Here is a 24,395-nt window from a genome sequence, read left to right as displayed (position 1 = left end):
ATAAAAAAAGGATAACATTCAAATAATTTCCAGAGTCTGGAAAAGGAGCCTGTACAATTGTATCTAGTTGTGAATAAGCCTCTACTTCCCATTATGTTAAAATGAGCTACACTTCCAACTGATTTGGAATTTAATTGAACTATATTTTTTAAATGAGTTAATCAAATGCAGTATCAACCTACACATTCAGAATCCTCCCCAGTCCCATAAGTAACTGGTTAGAGGATATAAAACACTGTTACATATTTTTTGACACTATATGTAACCTATAGATATGAAAAAGATACAGCTGAAAAACAAATTACATATTCTGAAGAATGTTATCAATGGAAATGTCATCATTTCAGGTATTCAAAAAGTATTCTAGTTTTTCCATGTTTTTTATTCTCTCTATAGCATAGACTTATCTTCTCATTACAGGTTTTGTACTGCATTCAAATACAATTCCAAATATGATGGTATGCCTTGGTGCTGAACTCAGCATTTAATAAGGCTATTCAACACAGCACTTTAACATTCTTCACTCTATTTTCCAAGTCACTCTCTAAGTTCCATATAAAGCCAAAGCCTATTAATTTAACTAAGTGAAGCTAGGTAAGCCTACACTCTACAGAGAAAAGACAGAGCCAGAGTCCTACCTCTGTTAGAGGCTAGAATCACTCTCATCCAATAGAAAGGGTCAGCTGAATCTGAAGACATGATCCCAAACAGGGGAATCTGGGAACAGGCAAAGAGCAAAACAGTCAGCACTCCTGTTTCCAGCCACTCTTATCCCCCTCCCCAATACGAAATACAAGCCTGAGCTTACCTGGCAGCACACTAAGAAGATAAAGAGGGTGATAGCGGTCCACAGCACTTTCTCCTTAAACTGAATCTAGAGTAGGAGAGAATGAATTGAAGCAGGGAGTTACTTTGAAAAGCAAATTAATAAAAATGGACTCCAATCAGACCCCTTTCTCTAAAAATGGACTCCAACCAGACTCTTTTCTCTGTTCAGCAGAGAAGCCAAACCATGTACCAAACATAAGTACCATGTACTGCGTAACTTCCTCTGCACAGAGCACAATGCAAGGACCTACAGGCATCACCCCAGCTCACCTCACACCACAGAGCATTACCTTTATTTTACAACTGAGCCTTAGAAGAGCTAAATAATTTGTACCAAACCCCAATGCTAAAGTGAGTTTGAGTCCCAAACTGTGCTTTTAACCATTAGCATTAACAGTTAAGACTCAAGAACAAAGAATGTCACAATAGAACATGACTTGTAAAACACACGAGCAACCACTTTTCATTTGAGTTTCAGTCACAAAACCTTGTTATTCTAGAGTCAAGTAATTTGGAATTGCTCAATAGTGTATTTTCTATGAATTAAGGGTAAAACAGTGTAATAAACCATATTGGGGAAGGGCAGGAGAGTTGCATGTTTAACCTACTAGTAACATTTGTTTAAGGATTTTCACATCTTCTCAGGTACATAGGTTGCATAGGTGACAAGAATCACTGTAAAGATGACTATTAAGTATTAAGTATCATTAGAAAACCTCCCACCCAAAACCTCTGTCACTAAAGAGTAGAGTGGGAACTCTTCCAGGTTTTCTGCCTCTGAAACTGAGTGTCTTCACTAATACCTGCTGCCTACACTACATTAATGGCTTTAGAGGGCTTAACAAACATTAATTATTGTACAGACGGAAGATTCTGAGGTTGAAATACCTTGTGAGAGACTGACAGTATTAAGTGACAAAACTGTGTTCTTTAAAAACACTTCTAGGCAGGCACTGAGTCAGCATTCCTGGCCCTCTGGCCAGAACTGGAGTCACAGTCCTCTAACTATACATGCAGGCAAAGTAGGACACAGTCATACGGCCACACAACAGTGGGTGAATCAGTGTTCAGATACTCCATCCAAAGCTGGGGGCATTCACAGGACTCTTCTTCTCTTGAGAATGGTCCTCTTCCCACCTACCATCCCACCACACTAAGAAATTAGAAAGTGGCCAAGAGAAGGCAACGCCATTTCAGAGTAACCTGTCTGAAATGAATCTTGATGGGAAACAAAGAGCAGACAATTTTTTCAAAACTCCCTTTCTAATCACCAAGTCCTCTCTCCTGGTTACAATCAAATTTAACATCAAAACCCCAAAAGCTCTTTATCCAAGTCCTGTCTCCTCTGCTTCTTAGTAGCCCCTAAATCCATTCTTGCTCAGTACCACAGTTCATCCTCTGATGTGAAAAGCCTCTAAACCAACTCTAGTCCTCTCCTTTTCTTCCAAAGTGACATTCTCATGTCTGGCCCTTGTTATTCATCTCCTAATGTTCCCCACCTACAATTATGTTCTATCAATAGCAACTACATCTAATAACCTCCCATCCAAACATGCTACACTCTTGTCACCAATGCCTTTGCAAACTATATACTCCTTTTATTTGGAATTCCTTTCCGTCCCTTCAAGGAGACTTCTATTTCTCCTTCAAAACCACCATAAGACATCATGTCTCCCAGAGTTAATCCCTTCCTGAGCCACTGCTATACCTTGCACGTATTTCCCTTGTTCCGTCTACCACACTGAGTTACAAGGCCAAGGTCACATAGCTATTAAGGTGCTATGTAAAGGGTGGGACCTAGGCTTGCCTGCCTCCAGAGCCATGCCCCTTCGCTACACTGGAATTGAGGGGGTAAAGCTTTACAAATTCGTCCATTAAAAGCAGCACATGGGCATTTATATGAAACTATTTTACGTAAAAAAATGAAAGTGGATTCCAAGCACCCAAGTGTCCATGTGAATGCTTTAACAACAGTTTGAAAAATAATGTGAGGACACAAACATTTTATTCCCCACTCTCTAACCTAGGAACCTAATGAAACTTTTTTTCGTTGACAGCTGTAGTTACACTGGCAACACTCACTCCACACAATTTCTGATTCAGCACAGCTCTAAATTTAATCTTTCCTTGTTTTAATACACCGTCTGTGAAAAGCAGCAGACTTCACAAAAGAATAGCCTTTATTCCCCCTATTGTGACAGCCTACATAAAAGGTACAAAATCATTTGTAAATACTAAAGTGACAGCCCTTCCCTTTAGCAGCTGGATACAAAGGGCATCTCCTGGGAAAAAAAACCAACCCGTGATCTGCTCCCGTTGGAGGTGAAAAAGGGAGGGTAACTCAATCTGCTATCCTAACTGAGGCCTTATTCATTCATGGCCCGGATCCATTTTTGGGACAGGGCAACCGGAGGCTTTGTTCTCGGAGCAACATCCACCAAAGATGCTCCAAATAAAGCACAGTGATTTCAGTGGAAATTTCCACACAACCAGGTCACCTTTCGACAGCTCTCCGGAATAACAGAGCACAACTACACTCCAAGGGAAGAGAAGGGAGAGTTTCCATTGCCGTGCTGAAGCCATTTTTAATCATACTGTAAACTTCCAGAGTCCAGACAGTTTCCTGAAACCTTCTTTGTTGGCGATTTGGGGTACTTACCTTCCTCTCTGGCTTCTGAATTTCCGGCAGGATGACACAGAAGGGCTTGATGACTTCCAGAAATTTGACTTTGATGGGAGAAACAAAACAGGAAGAGTTGGGACACAGAGAAGTAACCTTCCGCGCTACCCAGGGACGCCTTCTGCCCACGACGAGTGAGAGCAGGGGCCAGGGGAGCCGGCCGCACCCCGGACGCGTGGGGATACTCGAGAAGGGCCGGGGGCACGGGCCGCGTTCTGCAGGGGGCCGGTCAGGGTTGGCCGGCGGGCGCCCGACCGCACGGGTGTGGGGAAGGGGGATCTGTTCCGTCCCGGCCTCAATAGGGCTTCCCTACAGGACTCACTTGCCATGGCGGCGGCTGCTCGGGCTCCGGGTCCCGCTTCAGCTCAGCTCTGCTCCGCGTGAGGCGACGCTGCCCGCGGCCCAGCGCGTTCCACTGCACAGCAGCTCCGCCGAGAGACACGTCAGTGCTAGCCCGGCGGCAAGCGGCGCGGCGCGGCGCGGGGCGGGGCCGGGGCCGGGCCTCGGATCGCTTCCGCTTCCTGCCACGCGCGCCCGCCGGCCGCCGCGCTTCGCCGCGCCGCGCCGCTTCGCCGAGACCTCAAGCCCCGGCATGCAGCGGGGCTCCTGGGGCCTGTCGGGAAGGGGCCTGGCGCGCGGGGCCCGCCGGGACTGGGGGTGTGCGGCTGCGCAGACTTGGTAACGCGAGAGCGCGCGGGGAGGGTGTGTCACGCCTCCCGAGACTGGGGCTGTGCGGCCTCACGGAGAAACTGAGGCAGGCGCGAAGCGTCGAGTGCGCGCGTGGCCCTGCAGGCAGGCGGAGACCCTGGTGGCTCCCATACACGTAACAGCACTCACTGCTCTTTGACGTTAGTGAATAGACCGTAAGCTCCCTGGAGCAGGGACCTTATCCCAGCGTCTACCGCGGCGCCCGTCACCTAGTAGGTCTCCGTCATTACCTGCTGAGTAGGGCGCGGGCTGGTGGGGCTTACCGAGCACCCTCGCTGTCTGAGTCATTAAGCAAACCCGGAGGCTTGTCGTGGGTGTGGGTCCCCTTCCATCTGAGAACGAATGGGATGAGTTTCTGGAGAGACTTGGCCGGAGAAGGGCCGGGGCAGCTCGGGAAGTAGTCTGCCTCACAGAAGAATTCAGGAAGGCCTCCTGGGAGAGTACCTTTGTGCCGAGCCTTGATAGATTCTGGCGAGAAGGAATGAGGGAACAGGTTGAGGAGACTGTTGTGGGCAAAGCATGGCGGTGTGATTGCCTAAGATCGGTGTGGGAAAGGGGGATAACGGGTAGGGCAAGGGATGCTGGGGCTGGGGGTTGGAATTTACTTTCAGGCATCTGTAGTCAGTAGGTATGATGTCATCTAAGAGAAACAGACTTAATGCTGTGAGCATTTAGCAGGGAGGAGGTGGGCACGCCTTGTGGGATCAGGCAAGGTTTCATGGAGCTAAACCTTGACCAGGACAGGTAGAAGTTGAGGGTACATATGTGGCAAGATGCTTTTTTGCTTTTAATTTAGGTGTCAACTATTTGGATTTTTCCATTCTCACCCATTTCTAGCAGATAATCAGGTTTTGTACATTCTTGGCTCAGAAAGTTGGACAGGACAGGAAGTCTTTTTTGGAATACAAACCCACTGGTGGAAAATTCAAAGGACTACTGGGAACAGGCAGGTAACTTCAGTGAAGTGGTCTAGGTGTGACATCACTTGATATCCATCCCCCACCAAAAAGGGGAAAAAGAAGACATTGACTCTTTATTCAGAGTCTGAAATGCAACCCATCTTCACTTCCAGGACCCACTGATGATCTCTTCTGGAGTTTTGGCCTGAAGCTAAAACTGGCAGCCCCTGGACTAAGTTCAGCATATAGACTAGATCCGATATTTAGCCATTATGCACCCTGCACCATATTGATGGTTAAAATGTTGAAATATTTCGAGGGTAAATAGTATAGTAATTACAATAAATATTACAATTAGTTAATAGAAATTTTAATATAAACTCATTGGTTTGTGCTAATAGTTGTAGGATGTCAGTACCATTGATAACAGGCCTCCTGTTGTTTCCACATTATGACACAATCTGGCCTGTGTCACTGCAGGGACTGCAGCCAAGTTACGTGTGTTAAATCACTGATTGCTTTAGGAGAATCACTAGTTTAAAATATTTTTATTGGACTGGGTGCAGTGGCTCACACCAGTAATCCCAGCACTTCGGGAGGCCAAGGCAAGAGGATCACTTGAGCCCAGGAGTGCAAGACCAGCCTGGGCAACATGGCAAAACCCTGTCTCTAGAAAAAAATACAGAAAAAAATTAGCTAGGCATGGTGGCGCATGCCTGTAGTCCCAGCTACTGGAAAGGCTGAGGTGGGAGGATCCCTTGAGCCTGGGAGGTCGAGGCTGCAGTGAGCTGAGATCTCACCACTGCACTTCAGCCTGGGTGACGACAGAGTGAGACTCTGTCTCAAAAAATAATAAAATATTTCTATTGTAAGCACATACATTAATTCTTCGGAAAATAGGTATGCAGTGTTTTATATTTATACATTTAAGATTTTATTATAGGATATTAGAAACATCCACCTAGAATGAAAGAGACCACAAAAATCTGGATGAATTTTCAATACTTTTAAGTATGATAAATGTAAATCTTGATATCTGCAGAAGAATAAACAAGAAATTTGTAATAATAATGAATCCCCGCCTGGAACTTCTTTTGATACTGTTTAAGAATCAGCACAAAATAAAATTTATAATTTATAAGATAAACTTTATTACATAAAATCTATAGTTTTGTAGTGAAAAAATAATTTTTTTCAACCAAAAATTTGACATTGCTAGTGACAGAAATGTTGGGTACTGAGTGCTCAGAAGTTCTATTGTTAAAAGATCAAAGTGTTAAACATATATTCATCAGAATGCTCTTAAAGCTTGTGCAAGTGAAGAAAAATTGTGATTATCGATGAGAAAAGAACTTAAAAGAATATAATCAGTTTCATAAATTAAGTATTTGAAAACTTAGAACTCCCAAAAAGGTTATCAGAGTGAGGATAAAGCAATCAAAAAGATTTAGGGCCAAGCTTGGTGGCTCATGAAATCCCAGCACTTTGGGAAGCCAAGGTGGGCAGATCACTTGAGGCCAGGAGTTCGAGACCAGCCTGGCCAACATGGTGAAATCTCGCCTCTACTAAAAATAAAAAATTAGCTGAGCATGGTGGTGCGTGCCTGTAGTCCCAACTACTCAGGAGGCTGAGACATGAGAATGGCTAGAACCCTGGGGGGTGGAGGTTGCAGTAAACCGAGATCTCATCACTGCACTCCAGCCTGGGCAACAGAGCGAGACTCTGTCTCAAAAAAAAAAAAAAAAAAAAAAAAAGATTTAGAAGGTACTGTCAGAATTTTTAGCACTATTATATAGTTAAGTATAATTGAGCATTTCACACACATTTACTAGAACTTCAAAAGGATTAATATTGATATGAACACGCCATTGTATTCTGGACCCACCTGTTAAAAACCAGATGTACCCAAATGAGAAAACAGCTTTTTGAAAAATATGTAAATCAAAGAGGTGTATTTAAAATCATCATCTAAGAAGCTTCATTTTTTTATGTGAATGTGTTTTAATAATTAAAATGCAAATTTAAAGGTTTTTGAATATAATGGTTTTTGTTGATCTTATGACACTGGGAAACATTTAGTACACTGTATTGTCTTTATTATGAGTACACAAGAAAGAATTACATTTGAGATATAGTTCCATAAAGATGTAATTGGAATATTGTACCAAATAAGAAAATTGTCATTGGATTTTATACAAAAAATGCTAATGTAATTCTAGAGAGAGTATGGAGTTTCAGCCAAAAGTTTAGGAAAAATGTGGATGTTTTAATTTGGCACTAAATTATCAAATTTAATTTTGGATAAACCAATACAAGTCAGGGAACTCATGCTTTTCTTGATAAACTATATTTACTACCACACACCAAGTAGCAGAAATAACTACATTAAGTAATGCAAATTGAACCTTGATGGACAAGCCTGCAGTGCTAGATCTGCAAAAGCAATGTGGAAGTCGGTAAGTTCTGCATTCAAATGCTCTACCCCTGAGCTATATACCCGCTGTGGTGGAAGTCAGTAAGTTCTGTATGTTCACTGTAATGGAAACAAATGCAGTGGCTGTTTGAAAAATATATTTTAAAGAGTTTGGGCCTTAATAAATGATATTTTAATGGAGATGTCAGTATTTAGAGTTTTTTTGTTTTGTTTTGAGATGAAGTCTCGCTCTGTTGCCCAGGCTGGAGTGCAGTGGCGCGATCTCAGCTCACTGCAACCTCCATCTCCTGAGTTTAAGTGATTCTCCTGCCTCAGCCTTCCAAGTAGCTGGAATTACAGGCGTGCGCCACCACACCTGGCTAATTTTTGTATTTTTAGTAGAGATGGAGTTTTGCCATGTTGGCCAGGCTGGTCTCAAACTTCTGACCTCAAGTGATCTGCCCACTTCTGCCTCCCAAAGTGCTGGGATTATAGGCGTGAGCCACCGTGCCCAGCAGTATTTATTTTAGCTTTATAAGAAAACATATTTTAGCTATTAGAGCTGACATTATTTCAATAAACTGTAAAGCAGTTGGACATATGTAAACAAAGGGAAGTTTGAAACAAGTGGAAGTTATTATGGATAAGAAAAAATAGGTATCCTGTTTGAAAAAAAAAGTGAAGTATCAATTCCAAGAGAAAAATTATTGGCTTTTCTAATAAATCAATGTATTTGGTGACAAAAGTGAAAAATGTAATAAACTTTTAAGCCCTTTCAATTTTTTGAATCTTGAAATAAAGCCCCCTGGTTTGTGAAGCTCCGTGAATTGAGAGTGAACAGAACATAGTGAATAAGCCAGTAAGTTAAAAGATATTTCAATAAGTGATTTGTGTGACTTAGTCAATAACAGATATTGAATCAGTTCTGTATGTTCTTAGACTTTATTATAGTCTATAAAATGTTTAAATTTAATTGCTATTAATAAGAAACTGAGGATTCAACACTAAAAACAGTATCATTGATGTTAAGGAAATTCTCTGCTTAATTCATTTAATGATTATCCATTTAATGAGGAAGTTGTTGGAACAATTTGATGTTGCTTCCTATGTCAAATCATCACTCCATACAGGGGCAAAATCTAGTGACAACTGTATCAAAAGATTCATAACTTCCAAAAACCAAGAAATGATTTAGACATACTAGAAAGATCTGTCAAATTATTTTTGCTGCAAGTTACATTGTCATTTTATGATATTTATTTAGAAATAGGAGATATGTTTTTAAATTTTTGATTTACATATTGACCAGTTCAAGATGACTTCTTGTTTTGTTTGTAAAATCTAGAGAGATCACATAAAACATAAAATCTAGATTTTTTACTTCTCTTGGAAGATCAGAAGACCCGACAGCACTAGGCTAATATTCCTACATGCCAGAAATCAGTAAGTTGTGGCTGCTTTTTTAAGATTGGTCAGCAGCTCTTTGGCTCCCCACAGTTACCACTTGTCCCTTGCCTCTTGCCTGGTCTCTAAGCATTTGAATTTGTGGCCTCTGCTGTAGTTTTAAGCCTGGGTTCTTGGCAGGATGGGGGTGTCATTTATTTCATTTACCTAAATAAGGAAATCGAGAACAGGTTGCCTACTTACCCCCATGGTGAGTGTGTGTGTGTGTGTTTGTGTGTGTGTGTGAGAGAGAGGAAAGTGAATTTTATTTTAAACATGCAGAGTTTGAGGTACTGGAAATTGATCAATGAGAAGTCCAATAAGCAGACCTGGTGCTCAGAAATGAGTTAGGATTAGAAGCATGTTAAGTCGTTTTCCATGAGAGTGGATGAGATTTCTAAGGGAGAAAGCATAGAGAGACCAGATTCAAGGAGAGACCCAGTGGGAGAGGGGGTCAACCATATTTAAGGGTGGGAAGGAGGAGGAACAGCCAGGTAACAAGACAATCCGATATAATAATTAGGTTGGGGAAGACAGCGGGTTGGGGGAGCTGGTTATTCTTTTGGCCAGTTGGTGTGTTGGTTAGGATATAAATCCGGCTGTTAGCTGGGCACGGTGGCTCACGCCTGTAACCCCAGCATTTTGGGAGGCTGAAGCGGGCAGATATGAGGTCAGAGTTGGAGACCAAAAATTAGCCGGGCGTGGTGGCACGCACTTGTAATCCCAGCTACTCAGGAGGCTGAGGCAGGAGAATCGCTTGAACCTGGGAGGCAGAGGTTGCAGCGAGCCAAGATTGCGCCACTGCACTCCAGCCTGGGCAACAGCGCGAGACTCCATCTCAAAAAAAAAAAAAAAAAAAAAAAAAAAATTAGCCGTTGCTGCAGATTAAAAAAAAAAAACAAAAAAAACAAATCAGTATCATAAACCAGATGGAAGTCCAGGTAGCAGTATAGGTCTGAAGCTTGCTCTCTCTTATTTCTCCACTCCCTTTTGGGTGGTGCTGTGGCCCACAAAATCCAGTATGGCCCATCATTGTGTCTATATTTTGGCCATTTGGAAGATGAAAGAAAAGGGAGAGGTGGGACTGCCCTTCTGTTAATGCACAACCTGGAAGTTGGACACATTGCATCTATTCTATTCCTTTGGCTATAACCTAGTTGCACTTATCTGAAAAGGAGTTTGAAAAATCTAGTCTTTATCCTGTAAAGTCATGGGCTGGCTACTGCCATGGAACAAGGGGAGAATGGGTATTGGGAGACAGCTCTCAGTCTGTCTAACAGGTGGTGAAGAGAAAGTGGGACTTGAGAAGGAGAAAGGGGAGGGAATATGGTAAATTTCTGGGATTGGACAGAGATAGCTCCCTATGGCTAAAACAAAGAGTAAGGCTAGCAATAAAGCTATCATTGGAGAAGCTAGGCTTCATTACAGTTGTTAATATCTAGCAAATGCATGACGAGCTAGACAGATGAAGGAAAATGGTGCCCTTCAGAGATAGAGGCCTTCCAGATTTCTGAGATAGAAGCTCTCCAGGAGGAAAAAAAGAAAAGGAAGCCAGGCAGGCCTGACTCCCAGGGAAGAATTCAGGAGGCTTTTCCCATTCTGGAGATCAGAGAATACCCAAGAAACATCCAGGGCATGGCAGATTGTGTCAGTCAGGGTTCTACCACAGAAACAGAACCAGTAGTAGGAGATGCATACAGTCGACCCTTGGTATCCGTGGGATGTTGGTTCCAGGACCCCCCAACCCTAGCATCCCCACCCTCTGCAGATATCAAAATCTGTGGATGCTCAAGTCCCTGATATAAAATGGTGTAGTATTTGGTTATAACTTACACACATCCTCTTGTATATTTTAAATGATCTCTACATTACTTACATCTAACAATGTAAATGCTATATAAATAGCTCTTTGTATTTATGTTTTATTTTTCATTGTTTTTTAAAAAACTTTTTTTTTCTTTGAGACAGAGTCTTGCTCTGCTCAGGCTGGGGTGCAGTGGCATGATCTCAGCTCACTGCAGTCTCCACCTCCCAGGTTCAAGCAATTGTCCTGACTCAGCCTCCCAAGTAGCTGGGATTACAGGCACCCACCACCACGCCCAGCTAATTTTTGTATTTTTAGTAGAGACGAGGTTTCACCGTGTTGGCCAGGCTGGTCTTGAACTTGTGACCTCAGGTGATCCTCCTGCCTGGGCCTCCCAAAGTGCTGAGATTACAGGCGTGAGCCACCCTTCCCAGCCTAAAAAATATTTTCAAACTATGGTTGGCCGAATCTGCAGATGCAGCACAGATATGGAGGGCCGGCGGTATATATATCAGAGAGATATATATGGTAGAGAAATAGAAAGAGAGAGAAAAATAGGTGTATTTCAAGGAATTGACATAATATGATTGTGAAGTCTGGTTGGGTGTATCTGAAATTTCATGCAGTAGGGCCGACAGTCCGGGAAATTGGGCAGGAGCTGATGAGGTGCCCACAGGAAGAATTTCTTCTCCTTCAGGGAAACCTCCATTTTCTAAGGCCTTTCAGCTGATTGGATGTGGTCCACCCATGTTATTGAAGATAATATTTTTTAAGGTAATTGACATCTACAAAAATATCTTCAAGGCAACACCTAAGTTAGTGTTTGACTGAATAACTGGTTACTCTAGCCTAGCCAATTCGATACAAAACTAACCATTACTTATTTGCTTAACCCAAATACAAAAACCTGTGGCACAGGGTGTTAATGTGAGAATTACACCAGATACTCATCCAGGTATTAGGTTTTGGATCTGAGAGAGACTGAACAATTTGTATTTTTTCCTTTTCTGTGCTGGAAACTGATCTGTTTTTTTTCAGTGCTGTTTTCATTACCTCTCTGATCTTCTTAATGAGGTTAAAAGTACAGAAAAGTTTAAAGATTAATAAGATGAACACTGTATTCCCACCACACAGGATTAACAATAGTGAACAGATCATCTGTAGACAATGCTTGGTGGTTATGTGGATTTAAGAACTGCCTGCATTAATTTTGTAACTCCTCTTTCAATTGTACATGACAAAAGAATTACTTCGAACACGCTTGAGAAAAAATATACTGGAATTTTTTGGCTCCTGTAACTGAAAAGTCAAAGGGTAGATCTAGCTTTAGGCAAAGATGGATTTAGGCAAGGCTCAAAAACTGTTGTCAGACTCAGTTTCTCCATATCTCTTTGCTTTCTTTCATATTCAGGCTTCCTCCTTGGAGGGACCTCAGAAGTCCCAGGCTTCATAGTGTCAAGTTCAACAGAAAGAGTAGTTTTCATCTTTCCACAGTTCTTAGAAAAGTCCTGAGACTGAGTTTTACTGGGTAAGTGTTCACCCCTGAACCATCTCTGTGACTGTATAAAATAGAATGAACTTGCCAGGCCTGAGACTAGCCTTACCCAAATCACACGGATTGAGAATGTGGGAGGGGTGGCTCTATCATGGAAAATTGATGTGCTGTTTCCATAAGAAGGAGGAATACATGCTGGTGATAGTGACAGGAGGCAGCCAAATGCCCAGGCAGATAGGGGCAGGTACCCAGTGAAACCTCACCTCCAAGCCAAAGACAGTTGAAGGACTGAAAGCCAAGTTACAAGTTAAATCCTTGGACTGGATTGAGAACTTGTCTTTCTTTTTGGCATACTTTCCTCTGATTGATCAGCATCCTTCACCTATTTTACACATACCTACCCTTTCCTAATTGGTTTTTTACACTGTCGTGCCTACATTTGAGTGATGTCTTCGCTTTAACCTTTTTTTGCATACTCACAAACCAATCAGCCTGCACTCCCCATCCTGTGCCTATAAAGACCTAAGACTCAGTTGGTAGAGATGAGATAGCCTGACTTCGGGCAAGACAACCTGCCCTTCCTTTCCCCTCTCCAGCTCCCTTCTCTGCTGAGAGCTGTTTCCATCGCTCAATTAAATTCTCCACCTTCACCATCCTTCAATTGTCCACCTGACCTCATTCTTCTTGGATGCCAGATAAGAGCTCGGGACCCACCAAGTGCCAGTACCCAGAAAGGCTATCACACCAGCCCTTTGCCCTCTCCAGTGGAAGGCAGCTGCTCCACACAATGAGACAAGGGGCTAACTGAGCTACCACACCCCCGTCCATGGATGGCAAAACTAAAGGAGCACTGTAATGCCCCCTCTTGGGCTTCGGGGTCACAGGCACCCTCACCTGGGCACTGCCGTGTTCCCCTTGAGATGACACGCCTGGTCAGGCTGTGGCCTCACATAGAGCTTGCTCCTGTGTTGGTGCCTGGAGCATCTGGCCAGGACCCACACTCGCTCACTCATGTGGTCCCTCCCACAAGGGGTTGGTTGAGTGGGGTCAGCCAAGTAGAGGGGGTGCCCCTTCCGCAAGTCCAGCAGAGGGGCTGAGAAAAATCCTGCATCACTGGGTGAGCATACATTCCCACCATTGTGGGAACAGTAATGGATTTGGAGTCCAGCTGACTCACAATCCTTTCTGGCTTGAATATTTAATGGTGACATAACTTTACTCATTTAAAATCTCTGTATCTTAGGCCAGGTGTGGTGGCTTATGCCTGTAATCCTAGCTCTTTGGGAGGCTGAGGCAGGTGAATCATGAGGTCAGGAGTTCGAGACCAGTTTGGCCAACATGGTGAAACCCCATCTCTACTAAAAATACAAAAATTAGCCAGGTGTGGTGGCACACGCCTGTAATCCCAGCTACTCAGGAGGCTGAGGCAGGAGAACCGCTTGAACCCGGGAGGCAGAGGTTGCAGTGAGCTGAGATCATACCACTGCACTCCAGCCTGGGCGACAGAGCAAGACTCCGTCTCAAAAAAATAAAAAAATAAAATCTCTGGGTCTCAGTTTTCTAATCTCTCAAAAAGAGTTAATAATATCCTTTTGGGGATATGAAGAGTAAATTAAATAGCACATATAAAAGCACCCAGAGAAATGCCTGGTCCAGAAAGCTCAATTTTGCTAATTTTCTTTCTGTTATTAACCCAAACCTCTTTGTGGCACTCAGGGAAGTCCACCTTTCTTGCAAGAAAAAGTGACTACTATAATAACAATAATTATAACAGCTACCACTTCTTAACTGCTGGGTACCATGTGTGTTGTTAGGTTGGACCCTTCTGTGGCCACGGCAGCTGCACAGCTCCAGGGGGCCAGCCACATAGACAGCAATGCACATGGCACACTGGGGAATGTGCCAGCAGTCCCACTCCACATGCACTCACTGACTGTCCTCACACTGACACTGTGAAGAAGGTCCTGTAATTTTTTTTTTTTTTTAGATGGAGTCTTGCTCTGTTACCCAGGCTGGAGTGCAGTGGCATGATTTCAGCTCACTGCAACCTCCGCCACCTGGGTTCAAGCGATTCTCCTGCCTCAGCCTCCCAAGCAGCTGGGACTACAGGCACATGCCACCACACCTGGCTAATCTTTGTATTTTTAGTAGAGACGGGGTTTCATCATGCTAGCCAGGCTGGTCTCAAACACCTGACCTCCAGTGATCCACCCGTCTGGGCCTCCCAAAGTGCTGGGATTACAGGTGTGAGCCACTGTGCCTGGCTAGAAGGTCCTATTATTAACCCCATTCTACAGAGGAACCTTGTAAGCTAGGTTCAGGAATTTGCCCAAGGTTTTTTAGCTATTAAGTGACATGAACAAATGGGAACCATAACCTTTGGGGATACTTTGCTGTGGCATTTTAAAAGTAACTAGTCTTGGGATACAGAATTACTGTAATCCTGCAGTGGCAGAGGGCAGGGAGCTGTGGGGGAGGACAGACCATTTCATTTTGAAAAACTGTCTCCAACCACACACCCCCGGCTCCTGCCTGCTGCCATATAAAATGCTTACCAGAACCCCAGAGCTGAGAATACAACCAGCTGTCTCATTTACTATTCTTACCCTCTAGGAAAGAGACAGAAAAATAAACACTCTGGAGTGTATTTTAACTCCAAATAATTTGAATTAAATATAGCAATTGTGAAATGTGTCATATGGACAAGCTTTGGAACCAAGTGGTTTGTTTATTCACTAAGTAGATATTGTCTGAATGTGGTAACAGAAGTTTCTTCTAGGGACCTGTCAAGGTACAAAGGGATTGTTCCTTGGATTTTTTTTCCTATGAAATTAAATAGTGGTAATACTATGATAAATGCTCAATATTCTGGAAGGACTTCAAGCTCATTTTCTCCAATCGCCTCAGCCTCATAGAGCATTAGTAGTCTGCTGTCTCTTACTGTAGGATGTTTTTGTGGCATTGGAACATCTCTCTAAAGGCTAAGAGCCCTCATAAAGTTGCTTACTTCAAAACTACGAATTTCAGATACTTTAAAAGAAATTTGATCAATCACAAACCCCATTTTCCCTTTGATAGGCTTTCATGATAGGTTTTGCCAAAACTTGCAGTGGCTGGCTGTGGTCTTGGAAATTTAGATTTGGGGAAGCATTTATTGTCACTATGTCTGAGCCAGGTCACTAGGCTGTGTGTGGTAACCAACATTATTCTCATAAGATATTCACTACTCCTTGCTCAGATAGCTTAACAGCAACCTCAGCTATCAAGAGTACAGCCTAGAGGAAGTCAAAGGAGGTGCGCTGTGGCTGCCCAGAGCTCATGCCCTTTACTCTTCAAAAAATTATTTCAGAAACTATTTGCTTCATAGAGGCACAGTTGAGTGTATGTATAGATTGTTTTCTGAGAAATAATTTGAATATTATCAAATTCACCTATTTAAAGTGCACAATTCAGTGGCTTTTAGTATATTCACACTTTTGTACAAACATCACCACTATCTAATTTCAAAACTTTTTCATCAACCCAAGATAAACCCCATATCCATCAGCAGTCATTATCCATTCTTTCTCCTTCCACCCCAAGTTGCTGGCAACAACTAATCTATATTCTTTCTATGGATTTTCATTTTCTGAACATTCCAGACAAATGGGATCATATAATATGTGGTCTTTTTTCACTTAGCATAATGTTTTCAAGGTTCATTCATGGTGTAGCATATATCAGCATTTCGTTGCTTTTTGTGGCTGCAAAATATGCCATTGTGTGGACTGTAGAATGGGACATGGCACTTACCGTTTCAGCAGTTGCTTCCACTTTTTAGGTATTATGAATAATGTTGGTATGAACATGCACACACAGGTTTTTGCATGAATCATTTGCTTTCAATTTTCTGATATATGTAGGAGTGGAATTGCTCGGTCATAAGGTAAATCTATGTTTGACTTTTTGAGGAACTGCCAACTGTGTTCCAAAGCAGCTGCACCATTTTACATTCCCACCAGCAATGTAAAAGGGTCCCAGTTTCTCCATATCCTCAACAATACTTGTCACTGTCTGTTTCTTTATTATAACTAGTTTAGTGGATGTGAAGTGGTAACTCATTGAGGTTTTGATTTGTGTTTCACTAGTGATGCAAAACTAATGATGTTAGACATATTTTTGTATGTTTATTGGTCATTTGTATGTTTTGTTTGGAGAATATTCAAATACTTTGTTGATTTTTAAATTGAGCTGTTTGTCTTTTTATTGTTGAGTTGTAAGAATTCTTTATATATTCTGAATATAAAGTCCCTTAACAGATATATGATTTGTAAATATTTTCTCCCATTCTGAAGATTGTCTTTTTACTTTCTTTTTTACCACGCCCAGCTAATTTTTGTATTTTTAGTAGAGATGGGGTTTCACCATGTTGGCCAGGCTGGTCTCGAACTTCTGACCTCGTGAGCCACCTATCTCAGCCTCCCAAAGTGCTGGGATTACAGGCATGAGCCACCGCGCCCGGCCATCTTTTCACTTTCTTAAGGGTAAACTTGGAAGCATAAAAGCTTTTAATTTTGAAGAAATCCAATTTTTTTTTCTTTTGTTGCTTGTGCTTTAGGTGTTACATCTAGGTAATTATTGCCGAAGCCAAAGTCAAGAAGATTTACACCTATGTTGTCCTCTAGAAGTTTATAGTTTTAGCTCTTACATATAGATCTTTGATTCATTTTAATTTTTGTTTGCATATCAGTGTCTAGCTGTCCCAGCGAGAGTTGTTGAAAAGACTGTTCTTTCCCTCATTGAACTGTCTTGGCATCCTTGTCTAAAATCAATTAACCATAAATGTATGGATTTATTTCTGGATTCTCAATTATATTCTGTTGACTTATATGTCTCTCTATCTTTATGTCAGTACCACATAGTCTTGATTATTGTACCTATGCACTATGTTTTGAAATTCAAAAATGTGAGTCTTCCAACTCTATTCTGAGATTATTTTGGCTATTCTGGGTCCCTTGAATTCCATATGAATTTTAGGTTCAGCTTTTCAATTTCTGCAAAGAAGCCAGCTGGAATTTTTGTGGTAATTAATGAATATTGCCATCCTAACAATGTTAAGTATTCTAATCCATGGATGTCTTTCCATATTTATTTAGGTCTTCCTTAATTTATTTCAATTATGTTTTATAGTTTTCAAGGTCCAAAAGAAGTCTTATACTTCTTTTATTGAATTTATTCCTAAGTATTCTGTTTGCATGGTATTATAATGGAATTGTTTTCTTAATTTAAATTTCAGATTGTTTATTGATGGTTTATAGAAATATAATTTATTTTTGTATACTAATCTTATATCCTGCAACCTGGCAGAACGTGTTTATTAGCTCTAATTGCTTTTATGTAGATTCCTTAGAATTTTCTATGTATGAGATTATGTCTACAAATAGAGATAGTTTTGTGTCTTCCTTTCCAATCTGGATGCCTGTTTTATTTCTTTTATTTCTTTTTGTTTCTTTTCTTTTTCTTTTTTTTTTTTTTTTGAGATGGAGTCTTGGTCTTGTCACTCAGGCTGGAGTGCAGTGGCACAATCTTGGCTCACCACAACCTCCACCTCCCAGGTTCAAGGGATTCTCCTGCCCCAGCCTCCCAAGTAGCTGGGACTACAGGCACGTGCCATCATGCCTGGCTAATTTTTGTATTTTTAGTAGAGACAGGGTTTCACTATGTTGGCCAGGCTGGTCTTGAACTCCTAGCCTCAGGTGATCACCCGCCTCAGCCTCCCAATCTTTTATTTCTTTTTATTTATCTTTCTTGCCTAATTGTCCAGCTAGCACCACCAGTACAAACTTCAACAGACATGGTGAGAGTAAACATCCTTGTTTGTTCTTGTTCTTATTGGGAAAGATTTTAGTCTTTTGCCATTAAGTATGATTTTAGCTGTAGGCTTTTCATAGATATCATTTTAAGGTTAAGGAATTCCCCTTCTAGTCCTAGGTTTTTGAGTATTTATATCTTGAAGCGCTGTTGAATTTTGTCAACTTGTTTTTTCTGACTCTATTGAGATGATAATGTGTTTTTTTTTTGCTGAGGATCTTTGCATCTATATTCATTAGCAATATTGGCCTGTAGTGACTTTTTTTCTTTGGCTATCAGGGTAACACTGACCTCATAAAGTCATAAAGTGTTGAGAGTGTTTTCTTTCTTTCTTTTTTTTTTTTTGAGATGGAGTCTCGCTCTGGCTCTGTCGCCCAGGCTGGAGTGCAGTGGCGCCATCTCGGCTCACTGCAAGCTCCGCCTCCCGGGTTCACGCCATTCTCCTGCCTCAGCCTCCCCAGTAGCTGGGACTACAGGCGCCCACCACCACACCTGGCTAATTTTTTTGTATTTTTAGTAGAGACGGGGTTTCACCGTGTTAGCCAGGATGGTCTCGATCTCCTGACCTTGTGATCCACCCGCCTCGGCCTCCCAAAGTGCTGGGATTACAGGTGTGAGCCACCTCGCCTGGCCAAGAGTGTTTTCTTAACTTTTTTTTTTTTTTATGAAAAGTTTTTGAAGTACTGGTATTAATTCTTTAAACATTCTATTGAATTCACCAATGAAGACTTTGGACCTAAATTTCCATTGGTGGGATTTTTTTAAATTACTAAATTAATCTCCTATAATACATGCATTCATTTTCCATTTTCTTGAGTTAGTTTTGGTAGTTTGTGTCTTTCTAGGAATTTTTCCATTTCATATAAGTTATGTATTTTTTGGCATACAGTTGTTCGTAGTATTAGTTTATAATCTTTTTTATTTCTGTAAAATTTGTAATTATGTCCCTGTTTCATTACTGGTTTTACCAGTTTGAGACTTTTTAGTTCTTAATTAGTCTAACTAAAGATTTTTCAACCTTGTTAATCTTTTCAAAGAATAAAATTTTTGATTCTGTTGATTTTCTCTATTTTTATTTTATTTTCACTCCAATATTTATTATCTCTTTCCTTCTGCTTGCTTTGAGTTTAGTTTGCTCCCACTTTTCTAGTTTCTTAAGGTAGAAGGTTAAGTTATTGACTTGAAATATTTCTTCCTTTTTAATCTCACTGCAACCTCTGCCTCCCAGATTCAAGTGATTCTCCTGCCTCAGCCTCCCGAGTAGCTGGGCTCACAGGCATGTGCCACCACACCTGGCTAATTTTATATTTTTAGTAGAGACAGGGTTTCTCCATGTTGGTCAGGCTGGTCTCGAACTCCCGATCTCAGGTGATTTGCCCGCCTCAGCCTCCCAAATGGCTGGGATTACAGGTGTGAGCCACTGCGCCTGGCCTAACTCCAGAATTTCTATTTTTAAAATATCTCTTTCTTGATATTCTTTATTTGGTAAGATAGTGTTCTCATACTTTCCTTTAATGCTTTAAACATGTTTAATGCTTTGTACATATTTAAAATTGATGATTTAAAAATATTTTCCTAATAAATCCAGCATCTAGGTTTTCTCAGGAATAATTTCTGTTGATTCTGTTGATTTTTTCTCCTTGTGTGTGGGCCATACTTTTTCGGTTTTTATTTATTTTTTGCATGTTTAATAACTTTTTGCTCAAAACTGGACATTAAAAAAAAAGTGTGTCAACTTTGGAAATCAGATTTTCCCCCATCCCCAGGGTATGTTTTTGTTGCTGTTTGTTATTTGTTTGTTTGTTTAGTAACTTACCTGCACAAATTCTGTAAACTCTGTATTCTTTGTTCTATATGGCCACTGAAGTCTCTGTTTGAATAGCTTAATGTCAGCTAATGATTAGACAGATTTCCTGAAACACTTGAAACCAATAGGTCTCTTAATGTTTGCTGAGAGGCTCTGCGTATGTGTTCAACACTCAGCATGCAGTTGACAGCTCTGCCTTAGCCTTCACTTTCTGCTGGTGTAGATCCTCAAGGTCAGCCTGATGTTAGAGTTTAGGGTGTTCTCAGGTTATCCCAACCATGTGAACAGCCATGGGCATAAATATGTGCTCTGCCAGTGCAAATGGCCTTCTAGATTCATAGGAATATTTTGGAGCTTTTCCAAGCCCCTATGGATGCCCATTTCCCAGTTGAAAAAAAAATCCTTTCGGGTAACCTATTAATTGTCCTAAACATTACTCACTGCCTCAGGCAGTTGTGAAATTAAATAATTCCCTCTAAATGTTTTTGAGAAATGCCCCCGGGCAAAGGCTTTTTGCGCTGGGTGAGCTCTGAGTTTCAACTCAAGTCAAATAAGACAGCCTTGCAAGTGGGATCTTCCAGAGAACTTCCAGACAAGTCAAATAATAGGACTTCTGTTGGAATAGAGCATTGAAGGAACTCTAACTCTATTCTGCTTCCTCTAGAGACTGCCAGGCTGCTGGTATTCAAGGTAACTGCAGAACTAGGAAACAGGGAGAGGATGAAGGAGGACAGAGCTCACTGTTTTCATCATGACTCAAATGTTTTTCCAGAATAAATGCTCCTAGACTGCTGCGAGCCTTTGGTTACTTTTCAGAGTTCTGAATACGTGATTTTGACCATTTTTGCTAGGCTTCATGTTGCCTTTATGGAGGAGAGAATTTTCAGAGGTCCTTACTCTGTTAATTTCACTGATGTCACTAAAGTTACAGTTTTAACTCTTATGGGTATCTATCTTTTCAGGCAATGTCAGTTTAGTAAAAGGGACAGGATGTTAGCAAAGGAAGGCATTACCAGCAATAAGAAGTGATAGCTGCCACGGGAAGCAAATGCAGAAACAGCAGCCTGGGCTGTTCCATGCAGGGGTAAGTGGTGGCTGTATATGAATTGCTCTTGAGTATACTCATATTTAACCCAGGTTATATTTGTTTGCTAGGGCTGGGGTATTTTCTTACAGTTCTGGGGGCTCGAAATCCATGATCAAGGTGTCTGTGGGGTTGGTTTCTGCTGAGGCCTGTCTTTGGCTTGCAGATGGCCCTCTTGCTACCTCTTCACATGGTCCTCCCTCTGTGCACATGCGCCCCTGGTACCTCTCTGTGGTGTCCAAATTTCCCCTTCTTATAGGGACACCAGTCATATTAAATTAGGACCCACACTAATAGCCTCATGTTAACTTAGTCACTCCTTTAAACCCTATCTCCAAAATACAATCACATTCTGAGGTACTAAGGGTTAAGACTTCAGCATATGAATATTATGGGGACAAAATTCAGCCCATAATACCACTATATAAAACTTATTCATATTGACGTCCATGAGACCTAAAAAGGGGAGGAAAGTTTTCAGTTTGGTGTAGCAGTCCTTGAAGGGAATTGTAAGGTGTATTTTATATGTATTCCGTTCTCATTATAGAAAAGTATATAATGATCATGGGATGGACTTGGGCTTCTAGAACAGCTAGTTGCAATAGTTTTTTCCTGCAGGGATGTCTGTTATGGGTGACAGTTATATGTGCAAACAGTCCCTTGGGCCTCTGTACCACCTTCATTCCCCTTTCAGGAAACCACTTTAAAAGGCCAAATGATGGCTCAATCTGATTTCTACCAAAGAAAACTATTATTAAGAGCTTACTCACAGTGCACTTCACTATGATCTAGTCACATATATGATTTTATGTATTTTGCAACATATAGTTAAATACTATTGGTTGGCCAGGCATGGTGGCTCACGCCTGTAATCCCAGCACTTTGAAAGGCCTAGGTGGGCAGACCACTTGAGGCCAAGAGTTCAAGACCAGCCTGGCCAACATGGCGAAACCCGTTTCTACTAAAAATACAAAAATTAGCTGGGCATGGTGTCATGCGCCTGTCATCCCAGCTACTCGGGAGGCTGAGGCACAAGAATCACTTGAACCCAGGAGGCAGAGGTTGCAGTGAGCTGAGATTGCACCGTTGCACTCCAGCCTGGGCAATAGAGTGAGACTCTGTCTCAAAAAAAATAAAATACTGTTGGTCTAGAAATTATACATATTAGAAAATCTTGGCTGGGTGCAGTGGCTCACACCTCTAATCCCAGCACTTTGGGAGGCCACGGCTGGTGGATCACCTGAAGTCAGGAGTTCAAGACCAGCCTGGCGAAACCTCGGCTCTACTAAAAATACAAAAATTAGCCAGGCATGGTGGCGCACGCCTGTAGTCCCAGCTAGTCGGGAGGCTGAGGTAGGAGAATTGCTTGAACCTGGGAGGCAGAGGTTGTAATGAGCCGAGATCGTGCCACTGCACTCCAGCCTGGGCGACAGAGCAAGACTCTGTCTCAAAAAAAAAAAAAAGAAAAAAGAAAAAAGAAAATCTTTATACTGCTATGTTGAGAGATAAATGAATGACTTGTACTACCAAAGCTGTTTTTGATGAACCGTGGTGTCAACTTGTATCTGTCTTCCAGGAGTTCAGCTCAGGTGGGCAAAACCAGATAACTAACATGAACAGTGGAACAATCAGTGAACCAATACAAGGGTTAAATAAGCTAGCAATTAAAAGCTGTATCACTGGTCTAAAGATAGAAGATCAAGTAGAAAATCAGCGCAAGAGGAAAGATATACGAAAACTAATGACCTTCAAGGTTTGGCTGAACAGCTGAACTGCAGGATGGATTGGAATGCCTAGAACCAGAAACTTAGGATGCCTAGAACCAGAAACTCAGCCATTGCTGAGGTTCACTGCTTCTCAGCGCTGCTGCTTTATACACACAAACTGTATTCTCTCCCACTGTTTTGTCTTCTTTCATAAAGCAGGAAACATAGGTGCTCATAACTTGTGAGTTTTAAGTCTTACTCTAGAGTTTACAAATGCAAATGCCTCTAGGTGCCAGGAAAGTGACATAAGTAAGTGAAGCAAGCTGAATGTGCCAATCCTGAGTGGTGGGGACTGGCAAACTGGAAACCCCATGCCCTGTCTCCAGAGTCAGCCATGACTCACTGCCAGTCTATTGCCAGGTAGGAATGTGAGCTTAGACTTTCAGATTTTTCCAGAGAAACTTGACATCTAGATTTTTATGTGAATATCCTGATTTCTAATGCTGGCAGTGAATTCAAACTAAAAACCAACACTGTGTTGTCCAAACAAAACACATTTGTGGGTTACATTTGACCTCTTGATTCATGTGTTACTTTTGGAGTTAAATAACTCGAGGTCTGAAAATTGACCACTGAGTTTGGCCACATCAAGCTTATTAATGACCTTGACAAAGCCAATTTCAGAAGATGATGGGGTGATGCCTGAGTAGAGAGGGTTCAGTAGAGAACTGGGGATGAGGAAGTAGCTATGACCTATATGGACAGCTCTTTAAAGGATTTGGCGTAGAGAGGAGCAGAGAATTGGGGTAAGAGCTGGAGAGCACAGGAAGTTGCTAGGGGATCTTAAAAGAGGGGACAAATGACAGAATGTCTGTTGATGCTGATGGAAATAATCCACTACAGGGTGAAAACGTCATGAAAGAGGAGGATTATGCTAACACATGAGGAATTTCATGGGCAGGAAGAAATGGGGACTGGTTTACAAATGGAGGAGCTGACCCTAGATAGGAGCCCTTGAAGCTTGTGTATTGGGACAGGACAGCAGAATATATGGGAGCAGATGCCTGTAGATTTAGTGGCAGCAAGATAAGGGAATTCTCTTCAGATTGCTCTAATTTCTTGTGAAAGAAGAGGCAAGATCACCATCAACTGAGGGTGAAGATGGAATAGGAAGGGACAGGAGAGGTTGTGATTCTGTCATCTTGGAGTAGGCCCACATCTTGGGGGCTATCTTGGGGTGCTATGCCTTACTCCTCTTTTCTGAACATCATTAAAATGTAATTTTGTATTTTTGCATTTAATGCTATCCCGCAGGCCCTGAAAGATGCCTAAAAGGCAGCCTTCCCTCAGGTACCATTGTGCTGAGGTTTGCCACCCGCATCTTCTTGAGACAGCCCCACTAAGACAATGAGAGCGTGTCCTGACCCATTAATGTGCCCAGGTTCCCAAACGCCTCTGTCAGCCTGTGGTCTTGACTTTGAAGTAAAACCAGTCCCCTGGTTGCTGTTTCCCCAGCAACATTAACTGCTGGGGTGCAGAGTGAGGCAGGAGGAGAGTCAGACTTAGCCAGGCTTTGAGTTGCACCAGGCAGATAATGTAGAGGGAGGGGGGCAAGTCATACTTTCCTACTTGTAGAGTAGTGCTTACTTTACAGAGTACCTATGAAGATTTGTAAAAA

At 41.9% G+C, this 24,395-nt stretch overlaps 1 protein-coding gene and 1 long non-coding RNA gene across 7 annotated transcripts in view, besides 4 other annotated features; one reads left to right on the top strand and one right to left on the bottom strand.

The window, feature by feature from the left end:
- SEC61A1 (SEC61 translocon subunit alpha 1) overlaps nucleotides 1–4,749 on the bottom strand; it is a 20,043-nt gene extending 15,294 nt beyond the window's left edge. Inside the window, exons 1-4 of one of the 3 annotated variants that reach the window (NM_001400328.1) lie at nucleotides 4,480–4,749; nucleotides 3,488–3,555; nucleotides 809–874; nucleotides 639–717 (exon numbers count right to left, since the gene is read on the bottom strand). In NM_001400328.1, coding sequence (NP_001387257.1) covers nucleotides 639–717; nucleotides 809–874; nucleotides 3,488–3,555; nucleotides 4,480–4,504 — 238 coding nt within the window. In that variant the 5' untranslated portion in view covers nucleotides 4,505–4,749. Of the gene's footprint in view, nucleotides 1–638; nucleotides 718–808; nucleotides 875–3,487; nucleotides 3,556–3,830; nucleotides 3,954–4,479 lie in introns of those variants that run through there. The other 2 variants (NM_013336.4, NM_001400329.1) reach the window with 2 other exon arrangements.
- Nucleotides 3,640–4,279: a silencer, noted in NCBI's record as "silent region_14698". NCBI's record gives its function as "represses an Ori minimal core promoter by ATAC-STARR-seq in GM12878 lymphoblastoid cells {active_cell/tissue: GM12878}" and the evidence as "EXISTENCE:reporter gene assay evidence [ECO:0000049][PMID:35858748]".
- Nucleotides 3,640–4,388: a biological region, named in NCBI's record as "CRISPRi-FlowFISH-validated RPN1 regulatory element 1". NCBI's record gives its function as "regulatory_interactions: RPN1".
- Nucleotides 3,772–4,388: a transcriptional cis regulatory region, noted in NCBI's record as "promoter|chr3:127770845-127771461 region (GRCh37/hg19 assembly coordinates) targeted for CRISPR interference". NCBI's record gives its function as "negatively regulates RPN1 gene expression in K562 cells {active_cell/tissue: K562}" and the evidence as "EXISTENCE:mutant phenotype evidence [ECO:0000015][PMID:31784727]".
- LOC102723759 (uncharacterized) lies at nucleotides 4,215–24,395 on the top strand. 4 transcript variants are annotated; one of them, XR_001740900.2, is made up of 5 exons: nucleotides 4,215–4,428; nucleotides 11,473–11,549; nucleotides 12,187–12,303; nucleotides 20,592–21,011; nucleotides 22,588–24,395. It is a non-coding gene; the product is annotated as an uncharacterized LOC102723759 (long non-coding RNA). The 4 variants fall into 4 exon arrangements; XR_007096073.1 differs by lacking the exon at nucleotides 11,473–11,549 and having other exon boundaries at nucleotides 20,890–21,011; XR_007096074.1 differs by lacking the exon at nucleotides 22,588–24,395 and having other exon boundaries at nucleotides 20,890–21,887.
- Nucleotides 19,930–20,224: a silencer, noted in NCBI's record as "tiled region #3038; K562 Repressive non-DNase unmatched - State 22:ReprW". NCBI's record gives its function as "represses a minimal TATA promoter and a strong SV40 promoter by Sharpr-MPRA in K562 cells {active_cell/tissue: K562}" and the evidence as "EXISTENCE:reporter gene assay evidence [ECO:0000049][PMID:27701403]".

Source organism: Homo sapiens, chromosome 3 (genome assembly GCF_000001405.40).
Source record: "Homo sapiens chromosome 3, GRCh38.p14 Primary Assembly".
Taxonomy (NCBI): domain Eukaryota; kingdom Metazoa; phylum Chordata; class Mammalia; order Primates; family Hominidae; genus Homo; species Homo sapiens.
The sequence above is the reverse complement of the archived record's forward strand: the minus strand, read 5'-3'. Positions and strand labels throughout refer to the sequence as shown.